This window comes from Homo sapiens, chromosome 3, assembly GCF_000001405.40.
Source record: "Homo sapiens chromosome 3, GRCh38.p14 Primary Assembly".
Taxonomy (NCBI): domain Eukaryota; kingdom Metazoa; phylum Chordata; class Mammalia; order Primates; family Hominidae; genus Homo; species Homo sapiens.
Window position 1 is genome coordinate 178,180,649 of NC_000003.12, and position 24,524 is coordinate 178,205,172.

Genomic DNA, 24,524 nt, shown 5'->3' on the forward strand with positions numbered 1-24,524 from the left:
TGAAGAAGTATAGCAGAAGCCATAAATTAGGAAAGCAAACATTTTCTTAGAGATTCACCATCTTCTGCTTGTGTCTCCTGCCCCACTCCTTAACTGTAAGGCGGTGAAGAAAGGTGTTACTTTGTTGAGCTCAATGCATTCTAAACAAAACTGGGGTTCTTTTGTTGAGAAACCAGGAGTGAATATTGAGTAGGCAAGGAAGAGTATCCATTATGCGTATGTTTTTCTCACTCCCCCAAACCAATAGGAATTGCTGACAGCATCTCTCAATATATGACACCAGGGTGCAAATCCACTTTTTATTACGTTCAAACAGCAATTTAAATATGGAATGATTTGGTTATGCTTTCTACAGAAAACCTGACTCAGACTCTTTTTCAGATGTAATGTTTTGAAGAGCGGTATATTTTAAATGCTAATAATAGCATTATAGCAATTCTTTTTGCATGTGACATTTCAAAGGGAACATTTTTTTCAAGTAAGCATTGATGGATCATTTATATACACAGCAATGAAATTACTGCACAGTTCCATTTAAACCACTTTTTTCCAACCTACCAGAAACTGCCATTTTAAATTAAGGTTTGAATTCAATAACATCTAAAGGCATTTTTGAGTAACATATTTTCATAAAATGTGCTGAGTTGGTAAAACATGTCAATAATTCAAAAGTATATCAATTTTTTTTAACCTCTGCTAAAATAGTTTCCTTTAGTAACCTAAAAAGATATTTGTGTTTCATATACTTGGAGAAAATAATCTAGGATCACCATTCGTATATAATTTGCATACATATATTATACTATAGTGACCCTATTTAAAAGTTTTGAGGGTTCACAAAGATGACTGAAGAGATTTTCATAAAGCTTGAGTTATATAAAGAGAATGAGAAGCCAAGAAATTGTGTAGGACCAAACAGTCTTCTTGGAATGATGCCATAGAAGTATGTCAATGTTTTTGAATACGTGTAAGTCCCAACCTTCACAAATGCATTTTCAAATAAAATAATAAAATTTTCTTAGTTTAGGTAGATAATTTTTTAAAATCACTGCTTATACAATAAAAATAGATCTATGAGAAATACTTTGAGGTATTGTGACAAAGGCCTCAATAATCTGACTTAGAAAAATTTTCAAGAGTTAAAGATCTCCACAGTATGTCCCCAGCTCTCTTGTCTGTGCTTCTGTTCAAATGCCTGATTTGTATTTCTGTTCCTCCAAGGCTCAAAGCTTGTCCTGACGTGCACCTAACTGGATGGAGTTCTAACAGCTTCTCTTACCTTTATGCCTCCTCTCCAGAGCTTGGATCCGCTTGCTGAGACTGCTTAAAATCTGGCAGATGTTCTAGTAACCCTGATGCTGCCAATGCCTAAATGGGAGAAGTACAAGTTGCCTTTCTGTATGAAGATTAGTGCTGCCTGGGGAAGGGGGCTGCAACTCAACTAGGTTGCAGAAGCCTGGCCCCGTGAATACATACCTGGTTCAGGAAAATGAGATCATTGCCAAATTTAACTGATAGATAGGACGGCAACCCAGAAATGCCTTCTTTCATTGTACCCTTTTCTTTCCTTCATACAATTTTCAAAATCTGCATTCTGTATTTAGTGTGTGTCTCTTTTGCAGACTTGCATCCCTTTGTTATGGATGTAGGTTTCCATCTCCCTTTGGACAATACCAGCTTCATGGGCTATGACCTAGTGCAGTCCCACAGGGCCCCACATTTGGTTTAACACTCTGCTACCAGCGTACTGAAATTTTAATCATTGTATCTTTGAACTTGTGTTTCATAAGTGAAGTCTGATAGGGCAGTGGAGCATCAACATGAGCAGGCAGCAGTGTGAACACATGCGGGCTCAGACCTGGGGGCACAGCAGGCAGTGTCAGGCACCAAGCAACTGGCATGTTGCCCAGCACATATGCACATATCTGGGGCAGTCTGGGGAAACTGGGGAGGCCAGATTGATGGCACTGGCAGTGGCCACAGAAGCAAAAACGGCAGCAGCAGTAGAAGTGTTACAGCAGCCACGGCCTTGGGAAAGAGAAGGGATTCTGCTTCGGGACAGCACTGGGACTTACAGTGGGAGGTTGGCCCTGGAGTCTGTCCCTGTAGCATCTGTAAAAATATTAACTTTCCAGTCTAAATGCAGTCAGAAGAACTGCTAATGTTTAAACAATAAACTTTGTTACAAAATAAAAGCATATGCATTGGTGTTGCATATCTCAATTACTCAGGAAGTAAATAACTCAGGGAGTTATTAGAATTCATCAAAGAGTTTAGAATCTCTGGTTTTCAAAACAGCAGCAACACTGCAAAGGAAATATGCACAGTCTTAGGAAGAAAGATTCAGTGTGAAGACTGTTACATTTGAAAGAAAAGAATACTTTCCTTTTTTTTTTTTTTTGAATGCTACAATAGAATAATAGATAGATGTTTTAAATTACCTGGAAATAGTAAAGCTGCTTTTGGTTTCTTATATACTGAGTTACAAGAAATGTCAGAGAAAATGTTACAATGCCATTATATAGATTTACATATCAAATTAAATTCAGATTTACACAAAGTGATCGTATGAAGAGTTCTTTTTAGAACAATTGTCCCAAAAGAATCATTAGCTCTTTATCTGGTAAAATTCACATTTCAAGATAATTTATCAAAGATTTATCCCAAAGTTGTCACAACCTATATAGTCTTAACAGCACCAATAATGGCTGCATCAGCCAAAGTAATTCTCTCAAAATTAAAAATTACCAATTTGTTTTGTGATTATGCATTTGCCAAGAGCATTGATGTAGTTTTCAATTACATTATTTGAAAAGGAAGTTGGTAATATTTTGGTAGCTTATTAAAAGAATTTGCAGAAAAGCAGGCCAGAAAATCCTTATAATAAATGAAGTTACGATAGTTTAAATCTTATGATTTATTGTATTATATAAAATTATGAAACGAAAATACTTTTTTATTGTATGTTTATGTTGTTATGCATGCATCACTATTACCCCCTGATGTTACATAAACAATAAAATATTTTTAAAAGAAATACTTTACAAAGTTTTCTTTTTCTTTTTCTTTCTTTCTTTCTTTCTTTTTTTTTTTTTTTTGAGATATAGTCTCACTCTGTTGCCCAGGCTAGAGTGCAGTGGCTCAATCTCAGCTCACTGCAACCTCCGCCTCCTGGATTCAAGTGATTCTCCTGCCTCAGCCTCCCTAGTAGCTGGGATTACAGGTATGCGCCACCATGCCTGGCTATTTTGTATTTTTAGTAGAGATGGGGTTTCACCGTGTTGTCCAGGCTGGTCTCAAACTCCCAACTTCAAGAGATCCACCCGCCTTGGCCTCCCAAAGTGCTGGGATTAGAGGCGTAAGCCACCACACCCAGCCCAAAGTTTTTTATATAAAGTATCTTCATAACTTTAATGGTACTTTTTCCCCACCTTTTGAAGAAGGAGTGCATATTTTCGCTTTTCACTGAGTCCTGAAAATTATGTGCCCTTTCTCCTCTTTCACACCCCTACCCTCAGAGCCGTCATAACAGCCTTATCCCTCTTCCCTCCTAATCCTGAACATTCATTATTCACTCCTGCCTTCTTGCTTCCCAGCCATTTGAGTCACAGCATGCTATTCCAGCAATAACAGCATATTTTCAATTATTTTGAACACTTAGACTCTGCTAAAACCTTTACCTATAGTACCTAATTAATCATCACAATCACACTGCAAGGTAGGTATTTTAGCTTAACTCTATAGACAGGAAAACAGAGGTTTACAGTGATAAAATGTTTTCTAATGTCACATGGCTAATTTTTGCATGAAACCTATAGGAAAATGGCAGAAACGTTAGATTTCCTTCCCTACATTTTGTATTCTCTTCCTCTGGAACAGAGACAGAAACTAGCTGAAACGTAGCCTGCTTGAGTTGAATTTTTTGGTGTATAATGGCTGAGTTTCCCAAGACAGAAAATCTACAACTTATTTTTGGTGAATAAGAGATAAAGAAGGCACAGAGAAGAGAAGAAAATAAACTACAGAGAATGTACACTTTCTCGCTAGTATAAAAGTAAGAATTTGCAACTAAAATGACCTATTTAGTGAGTTTCCTATGAAATCCTTTTTTTTATGACATTTGAGTTGAATTTGATATTTGGCAATAAATATCTTTTTTAATGCTGAATTGGCTAAGTATTGTATTTAAGGAAGCTTCTCAAAGGACGAATCACCCACAGTTCTTTTAATGTTTACGGGATACTAATAGGAGGTAGATTTGAAATTAAGACTGTATTTTATATGAACATAATACAAGACTAATATTTATGTACAGTGAGAACAACTTCTCCTTTGGAATGGTAATGCTCTTTGCACTGAGCAGCTGAGCCTCTGTAGTGCTCTCCATCACTTGTCAGATTTAACATCCCAGAGTAAATAGCCCTCTGAATAGTAGCTGCAGGTCCATCTTGTTGATCCCAATTTGTCAAATGTTGCTGTGAAAAAAGCACTAACCCTTTAGAAAGGGTGTGAGGAGATTTGTAATTTATCTAAAACTCTAGATAAAGTCTTGGAAACACAGATTTCTATTTCTTCCAATTGCAAATATACTATCTTGCATCTATGTAGCCCCTATTGCCAAGAAACAAAATAGCACAATATAATTTTCAGTCTTCTACCTTTCTCTGTATCATTTTCAGTGAGGATATGGTAATAAATTTTTTAATTGTTTATGCCTTTTTTAAGGAGTCAAAAGAACAGAGAAGGTAAAATATATAACATTAAACAATAAAACCAGTTTATAGCAGAGGTAAGATTAACATTCAGAAATGATTGGCAACACAACTCACTTTATACAAAATAATGGAAGCAAGAATGATTGAGGAGGCAATGATCATAGAAAATGTCTACATTTAAGTCTTTAATCCATCTTGAGTTAATTTTTGTATAAGGTATAAGGAAGGGGTCCAGTTTCAATTTTCTGCATATGGCTAGCCAGTTTTCCCAGCACCAAAACTATAAAAACCCTAGAAGAAAATCTAGGGAATACTATTCCTGAATAGTAATAGTAATCTGTATCTTGTATAGGCAAGGGCAAAATTTTCATGATGAAAACATCAAAAGCAATTGCAACAAAAGCAAAAATTGACAAATGGGATCTAATTAAACTAAAGAGATTCTGCACAGCAGAAGAACCTCATCAGTGTGAACAACCTACAGAATGAGAGAAAATTTTTGCAATCCATCCATCTGACAGAGGTCTAATATCCAGAATCTACAAGGAACTTAAACAAATTTACAAGAAAAAAAAACCATTAAAATGTGGACAAAGGACATGTACAGACACTTATCAAGATATTCATGAGGCCAATAAACATGAAAAAAAAGCTCAACATCACTGATCATTAGAGAAATGCAATTAAAAACCATGATGAGATACCATCACATGCCAGTCAGAATGGCGCTTACTAAAAACTCAAGAAACAACAGATGCTGACAAGGCTGTGGAGAAATAGAAACACTTTTACATTGTTGGTAGGAATGTAAATTAGTTCAACCACTGTGGAAGACAGTACAGCGATTCCTCAAAGACCTAGAACCAGAAATACCATTTTACCCAGCAATCCTGTTACTGGGTATATACTCAAAGGAGTATAAATCATTTTATTATAAAGATATGTGCACACATATGTTCATTGCAGCACTATTCACAATAGCAAAGACATGGAATCAACCCAAATGCCCATCAGTGATAAACTGAATAAAGAAAAGGTGATAAATTTATACCATGGAATACTATGCAGCCATAAAAAGGAATGAGATAATTTCCTTTACAAGGACATGGATGGAGCCGGAAGCCATTATCGTCAGCAAACTAACAGGAACAGAAAAGCAAACACCACATGTTCTCCCTTATAAGTGGGAGTGGAACAATGAGAACATATGGACACAGGGACGGGAACAACACGCACTGGAGCCTCTGTTGTGGTGGGGAGGAGAACATCAGAATAAATAGCTAATGCATGCTGGGCTTAATACCTAGGTGATGCGTTGATGGGTGCAGCAAACCATCATGGCACACATTTACCTATGTAACAAACCTGCACGTCCTGGACATGTATCCTGGAACTTAAAATAAAATAAAAAAAATTAAAGTACCTTGAAACCACGCAAACAAAAAAACAAACAAAAAACAATAAAAACCCAAAACAAAACAAAAAGAAAATGTCTACATAATGTTGCGTAATAGCTAGGTACCAATTTTAAACTTCAATCAAGATACAAATGTTTTCATTTGTTTACAGATAAGAAGTTACTCTTAGTAAGCTGATTTGACTTATATTTTCTAATTTCAGTTGTAATCATTTGTTGACTTAAATTGAGGTCTTTCTTGGTTTAATAAAGTTATTGTTTCCTGTTAAGAAAAAGTGGTTTCCTAATTATATGTGAATTGTATCAATCATTCAAAGTTTCCTAGTAGGTGACCAGGTATCTGAATTATACCTTCATATATTCCCCCAGCAAAGAAAAGGAAATCATTTAAAGTTCAGTAAATTATTTTTCACAACAAAACAATAAACAGAATATAGCATCAGTAAGCTCCATAGACATCAAGCAAGACTTTCTACTCTACACATGTTGAGGGAATGAGGATTGAAATTGGGACAAAGAAACTAATATTTTTATTAAGCTGGTTATATACTGCTTGTAAAAATATAGAAAACTGTAGCTAAAATACATGTGGTGAAACTTATTTTGGGATCTGCTTCATATATACATCAGGAGTAGTTAGATTCTGATCTAACACAGTATCTGTAGACCTCAGTGGTTCAGATACTGCTTCCATAACTCAATCTGTTATTCAAAAATTAAACATCAATTTATAGGCCAAGTTCCATGTTAGGCATAGGGAACACAAGAATGGAGACAGCAAAGTTTGTATACATAAGGGATTTATAACCTAATAGAAGAGACAAGACTACAAATAACTATGATAGAAGGCAAAAATCACAAAAGAGAGTAATTTCAATGCTGTAGATATTTATGTGACAGAGAGGCCATCTGTTGGGTGGTAGTGGTGGATTGAAACGGAATATGAAGACAACAGCTTTTAAACAATATGATAGATCTGTAGGAGAGTAATTTGGATTAAATGTTGTTAAAAATTATGAGAGCACCTTTAAAATCAAATAGCCTGAATTTATAATCAGTAAACTTATGACTATCTCAAAAATATTCAGAAACTCAGGAGTGAGAATGTGAAAAGCAAAAGTTAAGGGTGATTTAGGGTGGGGATTGGCAAAGCAGGAATGGAAGTAATTTAAGGAACAAAATTTCTTGGGGAGTATCAGGTGATGGTGGAGGTGAGTAGTTATGAGGTACAGCCTGAAGAACAAATGAAGCGAGAAGAGATGTGATAACTTGGGGGGAAAAATGGAGTGGGCAAAGGATTGTGATTATAGGAAGATAAAGAGCAGGTTCTACAATGGTGACAGAGTGATGAACTAAAAGGTAAAAAAGTTATCATTGTAAAGGCATGCTTATACCTCAGGTTTCCCAGCAACAAAGGAAATTCACTTCACAGAAGAGAAAATTGTAGAAGGTACAATTTGCTTTCCTCTCTTGAAGGTGCCTTGCAGCTTACTTAGAGGCAATATCAGGAAAGAAACTTCTGTGGCTCAGCCCCTTCTAGGGGGATCTACTTCAGTCTGTCAACAGGAAGCAGACATCCTTCTTTTCTCTAATGTGGGAGGCCTTCATTTCTGTAAGTGGATTTTCATACACAAGGAAAAGCAGTAGGAATCCCATTATACCTAAGCCCAAGCTACACTCTTCAAACTAGCACCAAAAATAATAAAGCTTTATCTGTCTGATACCTTTATGTATTTTTCAAAAGATCCTGAAGTTGGATAGACACAGAATATAATTACAGATAATAACTATTATCTCCCCAAATCCCAACAGCAATGGGGAACAAAGCTTTTGAGTGTTTGAGAACTTTGAGCTGAAGAAATTGGGAGCAGTGATAATATTCAGGGTGTGGCCAATAAATGGCTGTCTTGTGACAGAGAGAAAAATCACTAAATATGAGGAAGCCAAGAACCTCTGAAATAATAATATATAGAGAAAAATATTAACATGCATGCTAAAATCCCTAAGGAAGATTTCAGGGATTAAGCAGATAAATAAATATGGTAAGGTATTCACTAGGATTTTAAATAATGGACAGAAAATGACTGAAAAAATATCGGTGAGTGTATGAAACAGTGAGAGCTATCATATACTTGTGATGGGAGTATAAATTGGTACAGTATGGTTTGGTATTGTCTAGTGATGTCTTCGTGCATATTCTAAGACCCTAAAATTCTACTCCTACATACTTGCCCTCAAAATATTCCTGCACATTAAGCCAAAATACGTATTCAACTATGGTTTTGTTAGTAGTAGCACAAAAAAAGAACTGTCAGAAACTGCCATCATAGATTGCACTACTAAGTTGTAACCAGTGAAATATTATACAGTAATAAAAGTAAATAAGCCTCAACTACATTTAGCGTAGTTTTGAACTAAACTAAGATACATAGGAATAGTCAGAGGATGATTTCATAAGAGGTATTTAAAACAGGCAGCATAAATTTATATCATTTATCAAGTCACCCTTGACTTTTGCTTTTTTCCATTCCCTCTCTTGGGCCTCTTAACATTTTTTGAGGCGATCATAAATTTACTGCTTACAAATTCAGGCTATCTGATTTTAAATGTGCTATCATCATTATTTAATCTATTATGAAAAATAGAGTTAGGCAAAAAAAAATTACCTGAGATAAAGAGAATAACTTTGTAATAACGAAAGTTTCATTTCAACTTAGAAGTTATAAAAATATTTAATTTGTATGTACCTAATAACATAGTCTAAGTACATATAAAGCAAGAATGAATAAGATTATAGAAAAAAAATCAAATGTACAAACAGCAAGAAATAGTTACAAAACTCATCTCTATAACGGACAGCACAAGGAACCAAAAATGTTAGTAAGGATAGAAAATATTTTAATAACACAATTAACTAAATTGAACAAATGTAATTTAAGAACCTGTTAAACATCTATAAGAATAAACCATAATTGAGCCATAAAGCATTTCTTGACAAATTCTAAAGGGGTCTGAAATAATACAGAGTGTAGCCAGCAAGATCTAGTCAGGAAAGTAGAAATCATACTAGGTAACCAACAGAGAGCTGTTGGTTAAATGGGTGTTAGAGAAATAAGAAAGCAAAAATACCACCTAGTCTGGGGAAGAAAGGGAGAGACCTGGAGCTAGGTCTCAGATTTCTAAAGAAGTGTTGCCGGACTGGTGCCTCGTGAAAGTCATGGTAAGAGTGGCTTTGAGAGTACAAAAAAAAAAAAGCCGGGGACTGGAACCAGCTATTGGATTGTGGTGATTGGGTGTGGTTGAGGGAAAAGGACAGAAACAGCCAGCCAACAAGGAAGAATAAATCCTTGACCTCATTCTCAAGCAGTCTCCCTTCTATGCCTCCTATTGGTGGGACTTACCAGAAACAAAGAAACCTAACAGAAAACAAGAGAAGAAATACAACCTTAACCCAAGAGAAAACAAAGAAGAAATACAACATTACAAAGCAGAATATACAAAGATAAGTTTGGAGCTAAGAAAAAAATGACTCTAATTGCTGGCATGCAGAGCACACCCCACCACATGGTGTGCAATACAATTAAGCCAGAACTCAATAGTTAAAAGATTTGCTAGAATTCACATGTTTGGGAATTTTAAAATACCTTTAGGCCATATTTTCAACTTAATGATAATAAAAAATCTTTTTTAAAACATGGAGTGTATAGCCAAAGTATTTTAAAAAACTGTAGTAAGATTGTGTACATTGATGAAGAATGTAGTCTGAAATTACTAACACATATATCAAGGAGTTAGAAAAAATGACAATAAATGCAGTGAAGAGAAGGCAGTAAATAATAAAATAGCAGAAATTTATAAGGAAGAAAACAAGCATACAGTATAAAAAATTAATAAAGCTAAGTGTTAATTCTTTGAAAGGACTCATTAACAAATATCTAAAAAGAATTATGAAGAGAAGAAGGAAAAGGAAGAAAAGAAAGGCAAAAGTAACCAATATCAGAAATGTAAATATGACATCACTATAGATATTGTAGACATAAAAATAATAAAGGCATATTAATAATAAATTTATGCTAGTAGAATCTAAAATGTGGATGAACTGGTCTAGAAAAATATAATTTACCAAAATTGACTTAAGAGTTAAGAAAAAATTTACTTAATCTTATAACTATTAAAGAGTTGAATTCATAACTGTAAAGAATTCACAAAGAAAACTCTATACCTAGATGACTTTCCTGGAAAGTTCTACCCAAAATTCTCTTAAAAACCTCTAAAACTCTTCTGTAATGTTGGAAAAAACAAACAAACAAACAAAAACAACAATAAAAAGCAATCTCCTAGGAGAAGCAGTTAGAGTCTCACCAATATTCCAAAAACTTTATCAGGTCAGAGTGCCCTGAACCACTTCCAACTGAGTACATTTATCTCTGTGCTTGGGGCCTCTTCTAGAAGATTTTCCCCAGGTGTCTGATCATCCAGAAATGTCAGGGAATTAACATCCTCCACCTCCACCACACCCCATTTCCCCGGCAGCCCTCAAGCAATGACTGATGGGAATATTTAAACAAGTAATATTTATATTTATACAACTCCCTGGACCTGGAGTTGTATAATTCTGATTTGTATATAAAACTGTTTCCTAGATTTTTGGTGCAGAATTAAATTTTAGTTGCCCATTGTGAAAGCTGCCTTAATAACATTGCCCTTTACGGACTGTTTCGTCTTACCTATATTTCTTGCCCATTTCCCTGCCAGTATTTCCTCTGCTCCTCTCAAATCACATTTTTGCATTTGAATTCAAGTCTCAGAGACCGCTTCTGGGAGAAATACACAAAAACAACTCCCTATTTTTGTTATGAGATGAGCAATAGTTTAATCTCAACCTTTACAAAGTCATGATAAGAAAATCATGGTTTAGTCACTCATATACATAGATGTTAAAATTCTGAGCAAAAACTTAGCAAGAAAAATTCAGCAACATGTAGAGAGGATAACACAAAATCATCAAGTTTTGTATCTCAGGACTACAAGGTAGACTTAACACATGAATAGCAATTAATGTTATTTGCTATATTAAAATATTAAGGAAAATAATTATACACTATAATTGTTTATTTAGAAATATATAGTTATATATAAGAATATATAATGCCACAATTATATTATTAATTACAAAATGAAGAAAAAAACTTTAAAAATTTAATATGTATTCATGGATTTAAAATATCTTAGCAAATAGAAGAGAAAAAATGTCCTCAATTTGATAAAGAATATCTTAAAAACCTATAGCAACAATGTACTTAGAGAGATAATAATAGCTTTCTTTTTTAGATCAAAAATATAAAAGGGTTTCTACTATGACTAATGCTACTCATCATTTTATTGGAGAACCTAAACAGTGTAGTAGAGAAATAAAAAGAACTATAAGCTATAGTGGTTGGGGTGGGGAGAGAAAGCAACAAAATTTTAATTATTTGAAGGCAATAGTTTGCAGATATAAATTAAGTAGATAGATAAATTAGAAGAAGGGAAGATAAAAATGTTGCTTCACAAATAATATACAAAAGCAAATTGTTTATACATAGGTACAAGATTTAAAAAATAAAAACTCAAACAAAAATATTTCAGTTAGGAAGACATTTTTAAAACATAATGCACCAGAAAACATCTAACCCTTATGAAAAAAATTATATATTTTATAGAGTGACATTTTAAATGACCTAAATAAATGAAGAGATATACCATATTCATGAATTGGAAGATACGTGTAAATATGTCAATTTTACACAAATGTATATATAGATTTATTCCAATCCCAATAAAATCCCTAAGTTTGATTTTTTAAGTTTGACCAACTAAGATATAAGTAAATAAATACACACACAGAGATGGAGAGAGAGAGAGAGAGGCAGAAAGACAGAGATGAAAACAGCTAAACTACTGTTAAATAACAAATTGGGAAAACAGGCTTTTTGGATATGAAAAATGATCTTAAAACCACTGTAACTAAGATAAAGATAATCAGATAGACCTGAGGAGCATAACAGTGATAAAACAGACCCACATAAGCATGGACACTTAATATATGAAATGTATATCATATATGAAAACACTAAGGTGGCACCGCAGATCAAAAGAAACATTTCTGAAAATTGGGTGTCCATGTAGAAGAAATAAAATTGGGCTTCTACCTCCCACCACACATGCAAATCAATTCCAGCTGAATTAAAGACCAAAATGTGAGAGGTAAAACCATAAAGTGTTTAGAAAATATAGGAGAATGTCTTCATTTCTTTAGGGTATCAAAGACTTCTTAAAAGTCATAAAATTTTTGTCAAAGACATAAAATTCTAACCATAAAAAAAAGAAAAAAAGAGATTGAGAGAAAGTGGAGGGGTGGAGAAGAAGGAAACGAGGGAGGAAAGAAAAAAGAAATCATGTAAAATTAAAGATTTCTAGTGTCCATAAATTTTAATGCTATAAAAGTGTCGGAAGTCTTTGGTTTTCATCAGAATAATTTCCTCTGCTTTTTTTTTCTGCTATAGGAAATTAAATAAAATATTAGTGACACTAAGAAATGGTTTTTATGTGAACTTCTGAGTTGTCTAAACCGTTAAGAGGAAAGTGTGGCCTTTATATAGCTGATATCTATTGCTTTAGTCCACTGAGAATACATTTTAAGAAGCCTTATAATTTAAAATGGATTTATTTTCAACTATTATTTCTTTTGAATTAAAATCTTTTCTAAGTAGTTCTTATTTTTCATTTTCTCACAACATTTTGTGAATTTGTGCTATCATTTGAGAACAATTTAGAAACATTTTTTAAAAACAAAGAATTGGGGATGCAGAAATAATGTAAAAGTAGAAACACAGCCATATATGATTATAATTTCTGTCATAACATTATTATTTTCTAATTATTGCACTATTTGTGTAGATTTCCAAAAGTTATATAGGAGTTTTCAATGAAAAGGATCTTACTTTGATTAAAAATCCCAGTCTCAATTGTGAAAATCTGCTGTGCTATGTGGATGGCTAAGCTTTTGGTAATCTCCTAAACTTGGCTGAACTAGCCCATGAGGCACACTCAGAGTTTACAATGAGATAGGTTTTGTCTATTGGATAAATTTGTCCATTAAGTACAATTGCCTGTCAAGAATATAGAGAAAAAAAAAAACACCTTCCCTTCTATAGAGAGAATTACCTAATAAACCCACTGTTCCTACTTTCTCTGAAGACTTTGAGGTCGAGGAGGCCACTAATGATTCCACTTTGACTGCAGAGATTTGTCTTGGCAGGACTTCTAAAGAAACTCTTAATCATCTTCCTGCTTATGGCTTTACCTGTTTCCTGAGTTTCAGATCAGGTTGTAGGGTTTCTGATGCAGACTATTTATTAAAGGAGTAGAATTGTGTCTTCCTTTACTCCTTTGAAGTAAGTAGGGCAGAAAAAAATTGATCTTAAATTCTCAAAATGCCTTTTTTTTTTTACTTATATTTTACTTGAACCTCTGAAAAAGTTTCCTTCTGTTTTGGTGTGTCTTTTCTTCATATAACTGGCACCTGTTTCTAGTATATGCACCATGGGAAGATTGCTTTCATGGAAATTAAATAATACAAAATAAGATTAAAATAAAAGGTTAAACTTTAAAGTTAGGATATAACAGGGATATGTAGGATCAAATTTAAGAGACAGGGTTGTTTTAAGGTGGGCAAAAATGTATTGTACTGAATTACATGGCAATTTTAAATCTAAAATATGATGTATAAGTCAGAAGACGGTTGGTGGGTTAATCATCCACGAAGACTGAGAAAAAGAAGAATTATAGAAGCAAATGTTGGCAGTGCCTGTCCCAGGCAGCTAAACACTGCCAATTCCTTGGCTTGGCATGCCTATAGTAGGGAAGAAGTTGCTTGTCAAGAAACCACTGGGTGTTTAAAATGGCTTCATATTTAACAGATAACATGATATGGATATCTGGCTCTCTTGACAGCTCTATTTCTAACAAATAATGAATGACTTGGCTAACTGTCTCTGCCCACATCAGGTTTCCGAGATGCAATGCTGACAGTTAGCTCTTAACCAAATATATTTTCTCTGGTGGTAAGAACGCCAGACAGCAAATAAAATTTAGAATGTCTGGTTACATTTGAATTCCAGATAAACAATGAATAATTTAGAGCATAGTTAGACTAAAAAAGTATTCGTTACTTGTCTAAAATTCAAACTTAACTGGGCTTCCTATATTCTGCCTGGTAACTCAACCTGGTGAGAACCTATGGCAGTGGCCAACTTGCCTAACTTACAAGACATTGATTGGTAATACACCAGTACAAGGTAATATTTGAGGGGGAAGAAATGCCATATACACATAGGGCTTATGATTCTTTCCCATCCGTCATCTAATTAGAGCTTCACAATGAAGCCTGACCTGACCTGGTATCCATGACCACCATGTGTTCATTATCATGAGAACAATGAGGCCCTCTGACTTCCAATCCACCCTCTTCACAGCTGACCACCTCTCTTCCTAGATGTCCTATTTCACATCATTTCGTTAGCTGTATGCTAATGCATTTTATTTATTGACTCTTACCTTGAATGTTCTCTCTGATCTCACCTTCTGAAAGCCAGTCATTCCATTTGCTTCCTGAGTAATAAGGGCATATATTGATAGATAATACTTTTCATGGAACTATAACAAATAGAAATTGAGATTCAGAAATAAATATACCTCCAAGTAAACTTTTGAATTAATCAAATCTTGGTTTGGCACATTTTGAGTGTGGGTTTTTTTCTAATTCAGTTCTTCCTTCCCTACCTTTCCCCAATTACTGAAGGTTCCAATAAGTATTACTCCAATTCCTCTTGCCAAACTTTCTTTCAAGAAAAGTCTCTTTAGCTCAAGTAACCTAAAGTTAAAAAGCACCCACAATGACCTTAAGTTAAATTAATACACATGGGCAGCTTCTAGGCAAGAATAATATTGTAGTACTTTGCTATTTAGGGTGGGATCATTTCAACTCCTTTGAAACGATCAGCATTCAACCACCATGTAAGAGAGTTCCTGAAATATTTGTAAACTTAAAAAAATTATTTAGATAAATACATAAACCAGACAGACAAAGAGACAGAAAGATAAAAGAATTACAAAGAAGAAGGCAAGGCAGGGAAGCCTGTCTAAATGGGACGCATGACACAGAAGAGAACAGTATGATTCAGCTGTTTTGCATGAAGGTTAAATTATTATGCAGCCAACAGGACTACTGAGAAGCAGGACTTGTGTCTTCAGTGTCCAAATTCTGTCTCTGATTCTAATGACTCATTTTGTGACTGCATGTAACTTATTACATTCTCTTTATTCTACTCTTACCTGCTGGAAAAGAAATTAAATACCATACAATTCACAGGCGATTATAATCCTGAGTCATTAATTCAATAATTTATATAGAGAAAATATTATTAGCTGGTAGAGAAGTGGTGACAAAAGTAATTCTGAAAGGCATAATTTGGGAATCTGGAAACAGCAATAAAATAGAATGTGCAAGGCCAAAATTTTGGTTTAAAAAAAAAAACACTTGGAATCAAGAACTTGTGTTCATGGAGACATGGAAAATAGAGAATGGTTGCAGAGAGCAGGGACAAGTCTAAGCTGTGTTGTGCTGTGTAACATGCATATTCTAGGGACACTGAAACCCCTTCCTACTCTGTTTACCCTCTACTTGCCACACACGTCATTCTAATATGGACGTTATATCTTTCTCCTTGCCACCCTAAGCTTAAAACCTTTCCTCGGATGATTTGTGCTGAGACAGAAATAATTTCATAAATTGAAAAGGGTATTATTTTATAAGCTGGCACCAGAGTTTATTCTGAGAAAAGAATACATATGGCTCAGTGTTTGAGAAAGAAATGTGAGGCCAGAAAGAATAGGAAGGATACAACTAAACTATTCTTCAAAAAAAATGAGGTGCTGAGGTGACGGAGAAATTCAGGAGGCAGGAGAAGAGGAAAACAGACTGGAGAAAAGCCAGTATCCAAGTTGGCAGAAAAAACAGATACTTTTAAAAAACTGAGACAGCTAATATTCATTCTTAAGCTGTTCACATTATTGTGTTATAAAACCAGCACACCAAGGCTTTTTATGTTTTTATCGTGTGTGGAAATGAAGAAAATGGCTAGGCAAACCTACAGTAGGCAGAACACAAATAGCTGGTGGGCAAAGGTGAGATGATCCATGAATTGAATTGATCCAAAGGAAACAGACTTTTAAACTAGAAGTGACTAAGAAACACATGAATATACCTCACCTCCTCGAGCATTTCCAGAATGATTGGAAAGAAGGATTTCTATTACAAACAAAAGGATTTGAGTCAATGTTATTTTCATCTCTGCAGACTCTAGGATTTAATCTGGGCTAGCAGGCCCTTCCCTGGGGCTGTGTGATGTGAGGTAGACAGCAAGTGACCTGACATCTCCCTCCTCCCTCCTGCATCTCCCCAAACAGTTCTCATCTGATCTGCTTCTCCTAGTTACAATTCCAGAAAAGATTTCCTTTTACCTTTTAATGCAGCTGAGAAAAAAATTATGCTGGAAAGTCATTCACCTAAAGTCTCACTCTTTACAGAGGTATTTCTATTTAAAATAAAAAGTGAATAAAATGATTGAGGCCTTATGGAATAATTTCATGAGAAAGTCTTTCTAGAGAGTTGGAGGAAGTTGAAGAAGCGGGAATGGGTTGGTGCCTGAAGATAGTAAACTAGGGAAGGAATTCATAGTATAAAGCCTAGAATTTGAAGTTCTCTCTAATAGTCCAAGACCTTCCCTCCAGGTGACATTTTCTAATGATATTTTGAAGAAAGAGAGAATAGATTTTTATTGAGAAAAACTACACAATTTGAATTCTATTGGTAACCTTTAACTTTGTACTCTGCCATCAGAATATCTCAAAGACCTTAAAGCCTAATAAAAAGATTAAAATATTTAAATACCGACCACAAAGACAGAAAAAGCATAGTTTACACTGAGGTTTTTTTCTTTAAAATAAGAGGCATTACATTTTGCTGTGCAATGCTAATAATTTCTTAAATGGAATATAAGAAAGAGGTACCGGGTGTGGTGGCTCACAGGCCTGTAATCCCAGCACTTTGGGAGGCCGAGGCGGGTGGATCACGAGGTCAGGAGATGGAGACCATCCTGGCTAACACAGTGAAACCCCCTCTCTACTAAAAATAGAAAAATTTAGCTGGGCGTGGTGGTGGGCGCCTGTAGTCCCAGCTACTCGGGAGGCTGAGGCAGGAGAATGGCCTGAACCTAGGAGGCGGAGCTTGCAGTGAGTGGAGATGGCGCCACTGCACTCCAGCCTGGGCGACAGAGCGAGACTCCGTCTCAAAAACAAAAACAAAAACAAAAGACAGAAAGAGGTACCAAGAAACTCTTCTCTTAAGAAAAAGTAAAGTTTTTCACTTAAAAATTAAGATTTTATTCTTATTTCTTCACTTCCTTAAAATTACTTTTTAAAAGGTTACTTAATATTTTTTAAACTTCCTTTTCAAAGGTGATACCTTTGAGAACTGAGTTCAGGATTCTCAAATTTGTATTTTATCATTTGGTGCTAGGAGAGACCTCCTTTGCTTTAAAAAAAATGATTTTTAATGACAATCTCACAGCTCATTTTTAAATAGCCTCTTTCCGTTTCTGAGGAATTGCTTTGGAGTTCAAACAAAATGAGTCACCCAAGGAAAAAAAATTCACAAGCCATTTTTATGCATTATACAGAGCAGAAATTTAATTTAATGGCACTGATATAGAAGAGCTCCTTCAAGTAGCAATTTAAGAAATCTGTTCCTTTACTTTTATGACAGCAGCAAGTTCTGTTGTCTATGCACATGAAATAACAATGAATGGTAATTGATCCTGGTGCTCCTAGAAGTGTGGAAAGGGGCTGCTGGTGGCCAGGAAAGGGGGATCAACCTAATACCATAGGGAAAAATAATTCTACAATGTAATTTGGGGGGTTTCTTTACAGTTCTTCCTCTCTCCTAGCTGGGATTGGAGCAGTTTCAGTTCTCATTTTCTTCCTTACCCTCTGCCTTTGATTTGAAGAATTTTCCTATGGGAAAATAGAGGGCAGCAAGTAAGGAACTTGTAACTATTGAGACTTCCTTTCAAAATTTAAACTGTTATCCCTGTCATATATCTGCTCCCTTCAAGTTGCAGAGAATTTAGGTTACAGTCTTGATTTAGGTCCAGATGAGCCCTTTGTTTTTTTTTTTTTTTTTGAGATGGAGTCTCACTCTGTTGCCCAGGCTGGAGTGCAGTGGCATGATCTCAGCTCAACTGCAACCTCCGCCTCCCAGGTTCAAGCAATTCTCTGCCTCAGCCTCCCGAGTAGCTGGCAGTACAAGCGCCTGCCACCACGCCTGGCTTTTTTTTTTTTTTTTTTTGTATTTTTAGTAGAGACGGGGTTTCACCGTGTTAGCCAGGATGGTCTCAATCTCCTGACCTCGTGACCTTGTGATCTGCCCGCCTTGGCCTCCCAAAGTGCTGGGATTACAGGCGTGAGCCACCGTGCCCAGTCCAGATGAGCCCTTTCTGACATGGGGGTCCTTTCCCTCACTCCTCTGACAATGGATATACCCATTTCATTCTGTAGGTTTATAGAAATAATAATTCAGGAACCACTTGCTTCAAGATGACAATTTACACTTTTAGACTAAGTGGCAATACTGCTTCAGGGGTTCTTCCTTCCATTTTGAAATAACCTCCTCTGTGGTTCACTATTTTAGTTCCTTAACAGGATATATTTTCTTAACACACATGGTATGTGAAACTGTATCTAAGGGATATTTCACTTTCACAGCTCTAGCTTACTAGGTTCTCTAACCCTAGGTTAAGAGTACTGATTCTCCAGCCAAACTGACCACCCAGGTTCATCTCCCATCAAGGCCTGCTTTCCAGCTGTATGCCCCAGAAAACAGAATCAGACACATTTTTGAGGAAAGTACCATTCCAGGAAGCTGGACCATACCCCAGGAAGTTCTTCACAGAGGCCATTTACACAGTGTGATGAACATCCTGGCTCCCTCTCAGCTCCGATGCTAAGGATCAATGAGATTGATAATGAGCAAACTCATCTCTTCATGAGTACTGGAGGTTTTAGAGTCTTCTTGGATTCTACTGAAAACAGAAAAAAGGGAGAGAAGGATAGAATGACTGGCTTAGCTATCAATTTTCTACTCCTCATTGCTATCACATCTACTTTTCTTGTCTGGGTTCTATTTTAGTCAGCCAGCGTTATCAGGCTTTTGAAAGCCCATGATATCAGTCAAAAAAAATTAAAACATCAAGTATAAGATGTAAGCCATTAAGTGGCTAACATCAATTGGATCTAAAAATGTTAGATATTCTGTGCTTTGAGTGCATCATTTCATTTAATCTGCATAACTCCATGATAAAGATCTTTTTTTTTATTTTACAGATGAAGACTCTGGAGCTTAAAGAAATAATTTACAATTCCAGTTATATATTGCTGTGTAACAAACCACCCTGAACTTAGTGTAAAAAAGAACAATTAGTTTGCTCAAAAATGTACCATTTGGGCAGTGTTTGGTAGGGACAGCCCACATATGCTCCAAGCAGTGTCAACTAGGATGGATGACTCAAAGATCGGGGGAACGTGATGGCTGGAAGCTAGAATCATCTGAATGCTCACACACTCACATGCCCGATGGCTGATACTGGCATGTGATCCTCAAGTGGGGCTCTTGGATCAAATGACTATATGCAACTTCTCAATGGGTTGCTTGGTTTTCTCAGATCATGGCAGCTGGATACCAAGAGTGAGCATTCGAAGAGACAAGAAGTGAGTGATACCAGTTTTTTAAAGCCTGGGTCTTGTAACCGGCATAGTGTCATTTGCATAGCATTCTATTAGTCACAGAGCCCAGATTCAATAGGAGACAAAGACCCCACCACATGATGAGAGAAGCGTAAAAACACTTAGAGGCCATGATTTAGAATTGGCCACACTTTGTAGCATCATGCATCTTGAAGTAAAGAATCTTGGACTCAAGACTTGGACTTTATAACTTCAAAGTTCTGGTTTTTAATCACTTTTCTAAATTACCTTAAAAGTGAATTTTGTATTAGAAAAGGCAACATTTAAAATAGAGTTCTGTGAATACTCATAAAAACCATACCTCCCAAAATTCAGATTAACAGAGTTCAGGTGATATTGGAGCTAGAGGTGACCTCGATGTATCCCACCTCTTTTCCTTCATTCTATACACCAGGAAGGGCAAGCACCAACTGGTCACATGACGTGGTTGTGTTAGCCAGTTGCAGTGTTGGGACCAAAAGCCAATACATTTTCCACTGTGTCTCTGCTTGGATGCACATATTACTTCCATTTTCTACTTTGTATATAAGTAACTTTTTAATCCAAATAACTAACATTTACCTGGAGATTTACAATATCCAAAGTACTTTTTTTTTTTTTTTTTTAAACGCTAGGATGCCTATCCTGGCCAACTGGGACAATGCACTGTGACAAAGACTCTGATGGCCAATCCAAAAAAAAAAAAATCAAATCACTGATTCTTAAGAATGGAAGCTATAAATGACAAATCAATGAATAACATGGTGATTGGAAGCTGATAGAGAAACATTGGAAGTGAGAGGATATGATGAATAAGGCAGACAGAGGTATATAATATATATGGCTGGTTCACAATGAATGTCCCAGAATCTCAGGATTCTGGAACAATGCACTTCTGCTAATTCCCACCTTACCAGGCCAGGCCTCACTAGACTTGATGTCAAACCACTGTCAGGTAAGTTCTATTGTTAACACCCTATGTTAGTTTCCTGGAGCTGCCATAACATATTGCCAGAAACTGGGTAGCCTCAAACAACAGAAATTTATCTTCCCATTGTTTTAGTGGCTAGAAGTCTAAAATCAAGGTGTAGACTAGCCTTGCTCCATCCAAAGGCTCTAGGGAATAATCCTCCCTTGCTTCTTCTAGCTTGTGGTGGCGGCCAGCAATCCCTGTAGATGCATCACTTCAATCTCTGCCTCCATCTTCAGATAGCATTCTCCTCTGTGTGTCTGTATCCAAATGTAATGACACCAGTTATTAGATGAGGGCATACTCTAAGCCAGTATGATCTCATCTTAATTTGATTACTTCTGAAAAGATCCCATTTCCCAATAAGGTCACACCCACAGATTGTAGACAGATATGAATTTGTACACTATTCAACCCAGCACACCTTCCTTTTAGAGATGTAGAAACTGACATCCAGATAGGCTAAGCAGTAGGATCAGATCATTCTGGGGAACAATTTGGTATTTAAAACCAGGTCTTCTAATTCCAATCCTGTGTTGTTTCCACTGTTGCATAAAGTATGCAAGAAAATTTTGTAATGTAAGATAATCTTATTTGATTTTCCTCATGAGGCCTGTGGAAAAAAAAAAAGGAAGACTGAATATTATCTTTTTTTGCAAAGGGAAAAGAATGACTTCCTTGAACTTCCTGCCCCGTCTATTTGTTTCCATAGCAACCTATTATGCCTTTCATAAGTGTTATCGCTTTATTGTATTTGCCTGATTATCTGTTCTACCAAATGCAAATGCGGAGAAAAGCAGCTTGGTGGAGGCACTGATGAGTGAGACTGAGAGAGATACAGAGTCCTGCCTGGGTCACAGGGGTTAGGTGCAAAGTTTGGACCTGAACTAATTCTGGGAGGCTATGACTTCCTCTTATGGTATCTTCTCCAAGAGTCAAATTTTCACTGTGTGATCAGGCCCCTTCATCTATTGTTTTCATCAGGCACAATGCCCATGATCTATGAACTTTTTAAGAGTCAAAAAAAATTTAAGACCTGAAAATATATTACTAGTTACAAATAGTAAAATGTTGCAAAACTAAAGGTAATAAGTATTTTAATTAAATAATGATAAAATATGGCTGGGAGCGGTGGCTCACACCTATAATCACAGCAGTTTGGGAGGCTGAGGCGGGCAGATCACTTGAAGTCAGGAGTTTCAGACCAGCCTGGCCAACATGATAAAACCCCATTTCTACTAAAAATACAAAAATTAGCTAGGCACAGTGGCATGTGCCTGTTGTCCCAGCTACTCAGGAGGCTGAGGCAGGAGAATCGCTTGAACCTGGGAGGCGGAGGTTGCAGTGAGCCAAGATCTCACCATCCTGGGTGACAGAGCAAGACTCTGTCTCAAGAAAAAAATATATATATAACATATTAAACAACTGCAATAATTATTATATAAATAAATATGCAAATTTGACATAATCTGGGACTTTCATGCATTTTAGTTGATATAATATGAATGGGAGGTTTTCAAAAATAAGAATATTTTGGGCCTATAAAGATCCTAAAAAGTCCCCAAGTACCAGATTAAAAATCAACCCTGTTTATGAGGATCAAAACAACTCTCTGATTAAGTCTGGCATATGAGATGGGAGAGTGTGAACAGTTCCTTTTTTTCCTTTCATCACAAGTAAAGCAGCTTCTCCTTATTATATAACCGTCTTAGTCAGGATCAGTAATGCAGCATTTGGTGAGGTCGTCATGTACTATTTGTGGCTCACTTAATCCCAGTCTTCCTCCTGGGGGTAGGCCTAACAGAGAGATGTTTCATTTTGGTGTTTTTCCTGTGAAATTTTTGATCCAATTACCTTTTAATCTTTTGCTACACAGTGTGTTGGGCAAGCAATTTAGCAGCCAGAGCCCTTGGTCTACAATGAGAATGAGCACAAGAGACAAGAGAACTGGAATACCAGAAATCAAAGAAAATAATATTGAATGGGAGAAAGATTTATCATTTTTGTAGCTCTCTGTTCCTGATAACGCCCAGATAGCTAAAAGAACAACTAGATTTAAAGGATGTTAACAATCTTTTTAGTGAGAACTAATTTTAGTTCCAGCTCCCCCTATACTCCTACCCATGGAATGAAAGTCTTGTTATTCTTCTTTTACATTAAAGATTTCATAATATTCAAAGTAGATCTCTGACATCGATGTGGATGACACAGTTTCCATATTGGGGAAATCTTATGACTTTTCTTGGCAATGAGAGTTTATGTTGTTTAACCACAGTAAAAGCCAAGGATGTAAAGTGACTCCACACTTTTCTCACAATTTATAAGCCTTCTGTTGGCCTCTGATCCTTCCTACTCCAGGCTAAGCTCCCTGTGCTAGGATTTCAACCATTCTCCTACCCATCTCCATAATTCCCTCAGTCCTTTGTGCTCCCACTATACAAACTCCACAAAGCCGTACCCTGCTCCAGTCCCAGATCAGTCAGCTGCTTCTATACAAGTTCAACTAAATATCACAAGAGAAATTTTCTTATCACCTCTGTTGCTTCCCAAAGTTACCATCTGCAATCTACCTTGGAGAATCTTGCTTCTCATAAATGCTTTTATTTATCTTTGATCAGCAACTTATTCCATCCTTATTGCATACTCAAAATGTTATCTTCAAGTCCTTATCCCAATATTCACTCTCAAAAAATAGCCCACTACCTCAGTATCAATACCAGGCATGAGCTACCTCAAATTTCCTTTCCAATTGCCAAACAAATCCATAGCTACACTTCTCCTACAGTCTCTGAGGAAAAGATGGCACACTCCTCTTTCACAGGAAAGCTCCATCTATGCTCCTCATTGCGCCCATTCTTGCATTCCTTCTCTATGCCAGACACCAACATTTTAGACAAAAAAAATATAGAATGCCTGCTCAAAGGGTAGTAAGAGAGACAAGAGAACAGACGCATCTCACACAGCATATGTCATTTTGCTTTTTTTTGCTACACGAATATCTACTCTAGAGTGCTGGGGCTAAAAAATCATTCCAGAGAAGATGATACCTGAGCCAAACCATGTAGGATAAGAAAGGAATAGGCTGGATGAAAAAGGGAGATAAGATCATCCCCAGTAGGGTGAGCAGCAATTACAATGGCACAGAGTTATGAAAACAAGGGACAGTTGATCTAAAGCTGAGGAGTTGCTGTGGAGTGGAAAAATGTGATGCAGGACAAGGATGTCATAATCAGATTCTGAAATACGGCATGCAGACTAAGATGTCTGAGTTTTTATACTGACAGCACTGGGGATCCTGTATAAGTTTCTAATCCTGGGAAAGGAACAATCACATTTGCAATTTAGGAAGAAGATTTGGAATGCAATGTGGTTGATAGATTGCAGGGGATAGAACTTGGGGCTTGGACTAGAAGGAGGCCAGCAAATAAACTGACTATAACCCAGGCCAAGAAAACCAATAGGGTGAACTAATTTGTCACTGCCTTAGAATGGCAGTGGCAGTGGCAGGGGCACCTTCATATGGGCACCAACACCGTTAAGC

The 24,524-nt window shown here is 36.2% G+C and overlaps 1 long non-coding RNA gene across 1 annotated transcript in view, besides 2 other annotated features; it reads right to left on the reverse strand.

Moving 5' to 3' along the window:
• The window catches only part of LOC105374235 (uncharacterized), a 221,596-nt gene that overhangs the window by 16,951 nt on the left and 180,121 nt on the right, over positions 1–24,524 (reverse strand). The window contains exons 7-10 of the long non-coding RNA NR_188692.1: positions 21,408–21,596; positions 21,111–21,243; positions 19,165–19,310; positions 14,731–14,829 (exon numbers count right to left, since the gene is read on the reverse strand). This is a non-coding gene — a long non-coding RNA (uncharacterized LOC105374235). The remainder of the gene's footprint in view (positions 1–14,730; positions 14,830–19,164; positions 19,311–21,110; positions 21,244–21,407; positions 21,597–24,524) is intronic.
• Positions 1,407–1,908: an enhancer, noted in NCBI's record as "H3K4me1 hESC enhancer chr3:177899843-177900344 (GRCh37/hg19 assembly coordinates)". NCBI's record gives its function as "activates a minimal SCP1, AML or CMV promoter by ChIP-STARR-seq in naive H9 embryonic stem cells {active_cell/tissue: H9 hESC(naive)}" and the evidence as "EXISTENCE:reporter gene assay evidence [ECO:0000049][PMID:30033119]".
• Positions 21,573–21,867: a silencer, noted in NCBI's record as "tiled region #14541; HepG2 Repressive non-DNase unmatched - State 24:Quies". NCBI's record gives its function as "represses a minimal TATA promoter and a strong SV40 promoter by Sharpr-MPRA in HepG2 cells {active_cell/tissue: HepG2}" and the evidence as "EXISTENCE:reporter gene assay evidence [ECO:0000049][PMID:27701403]".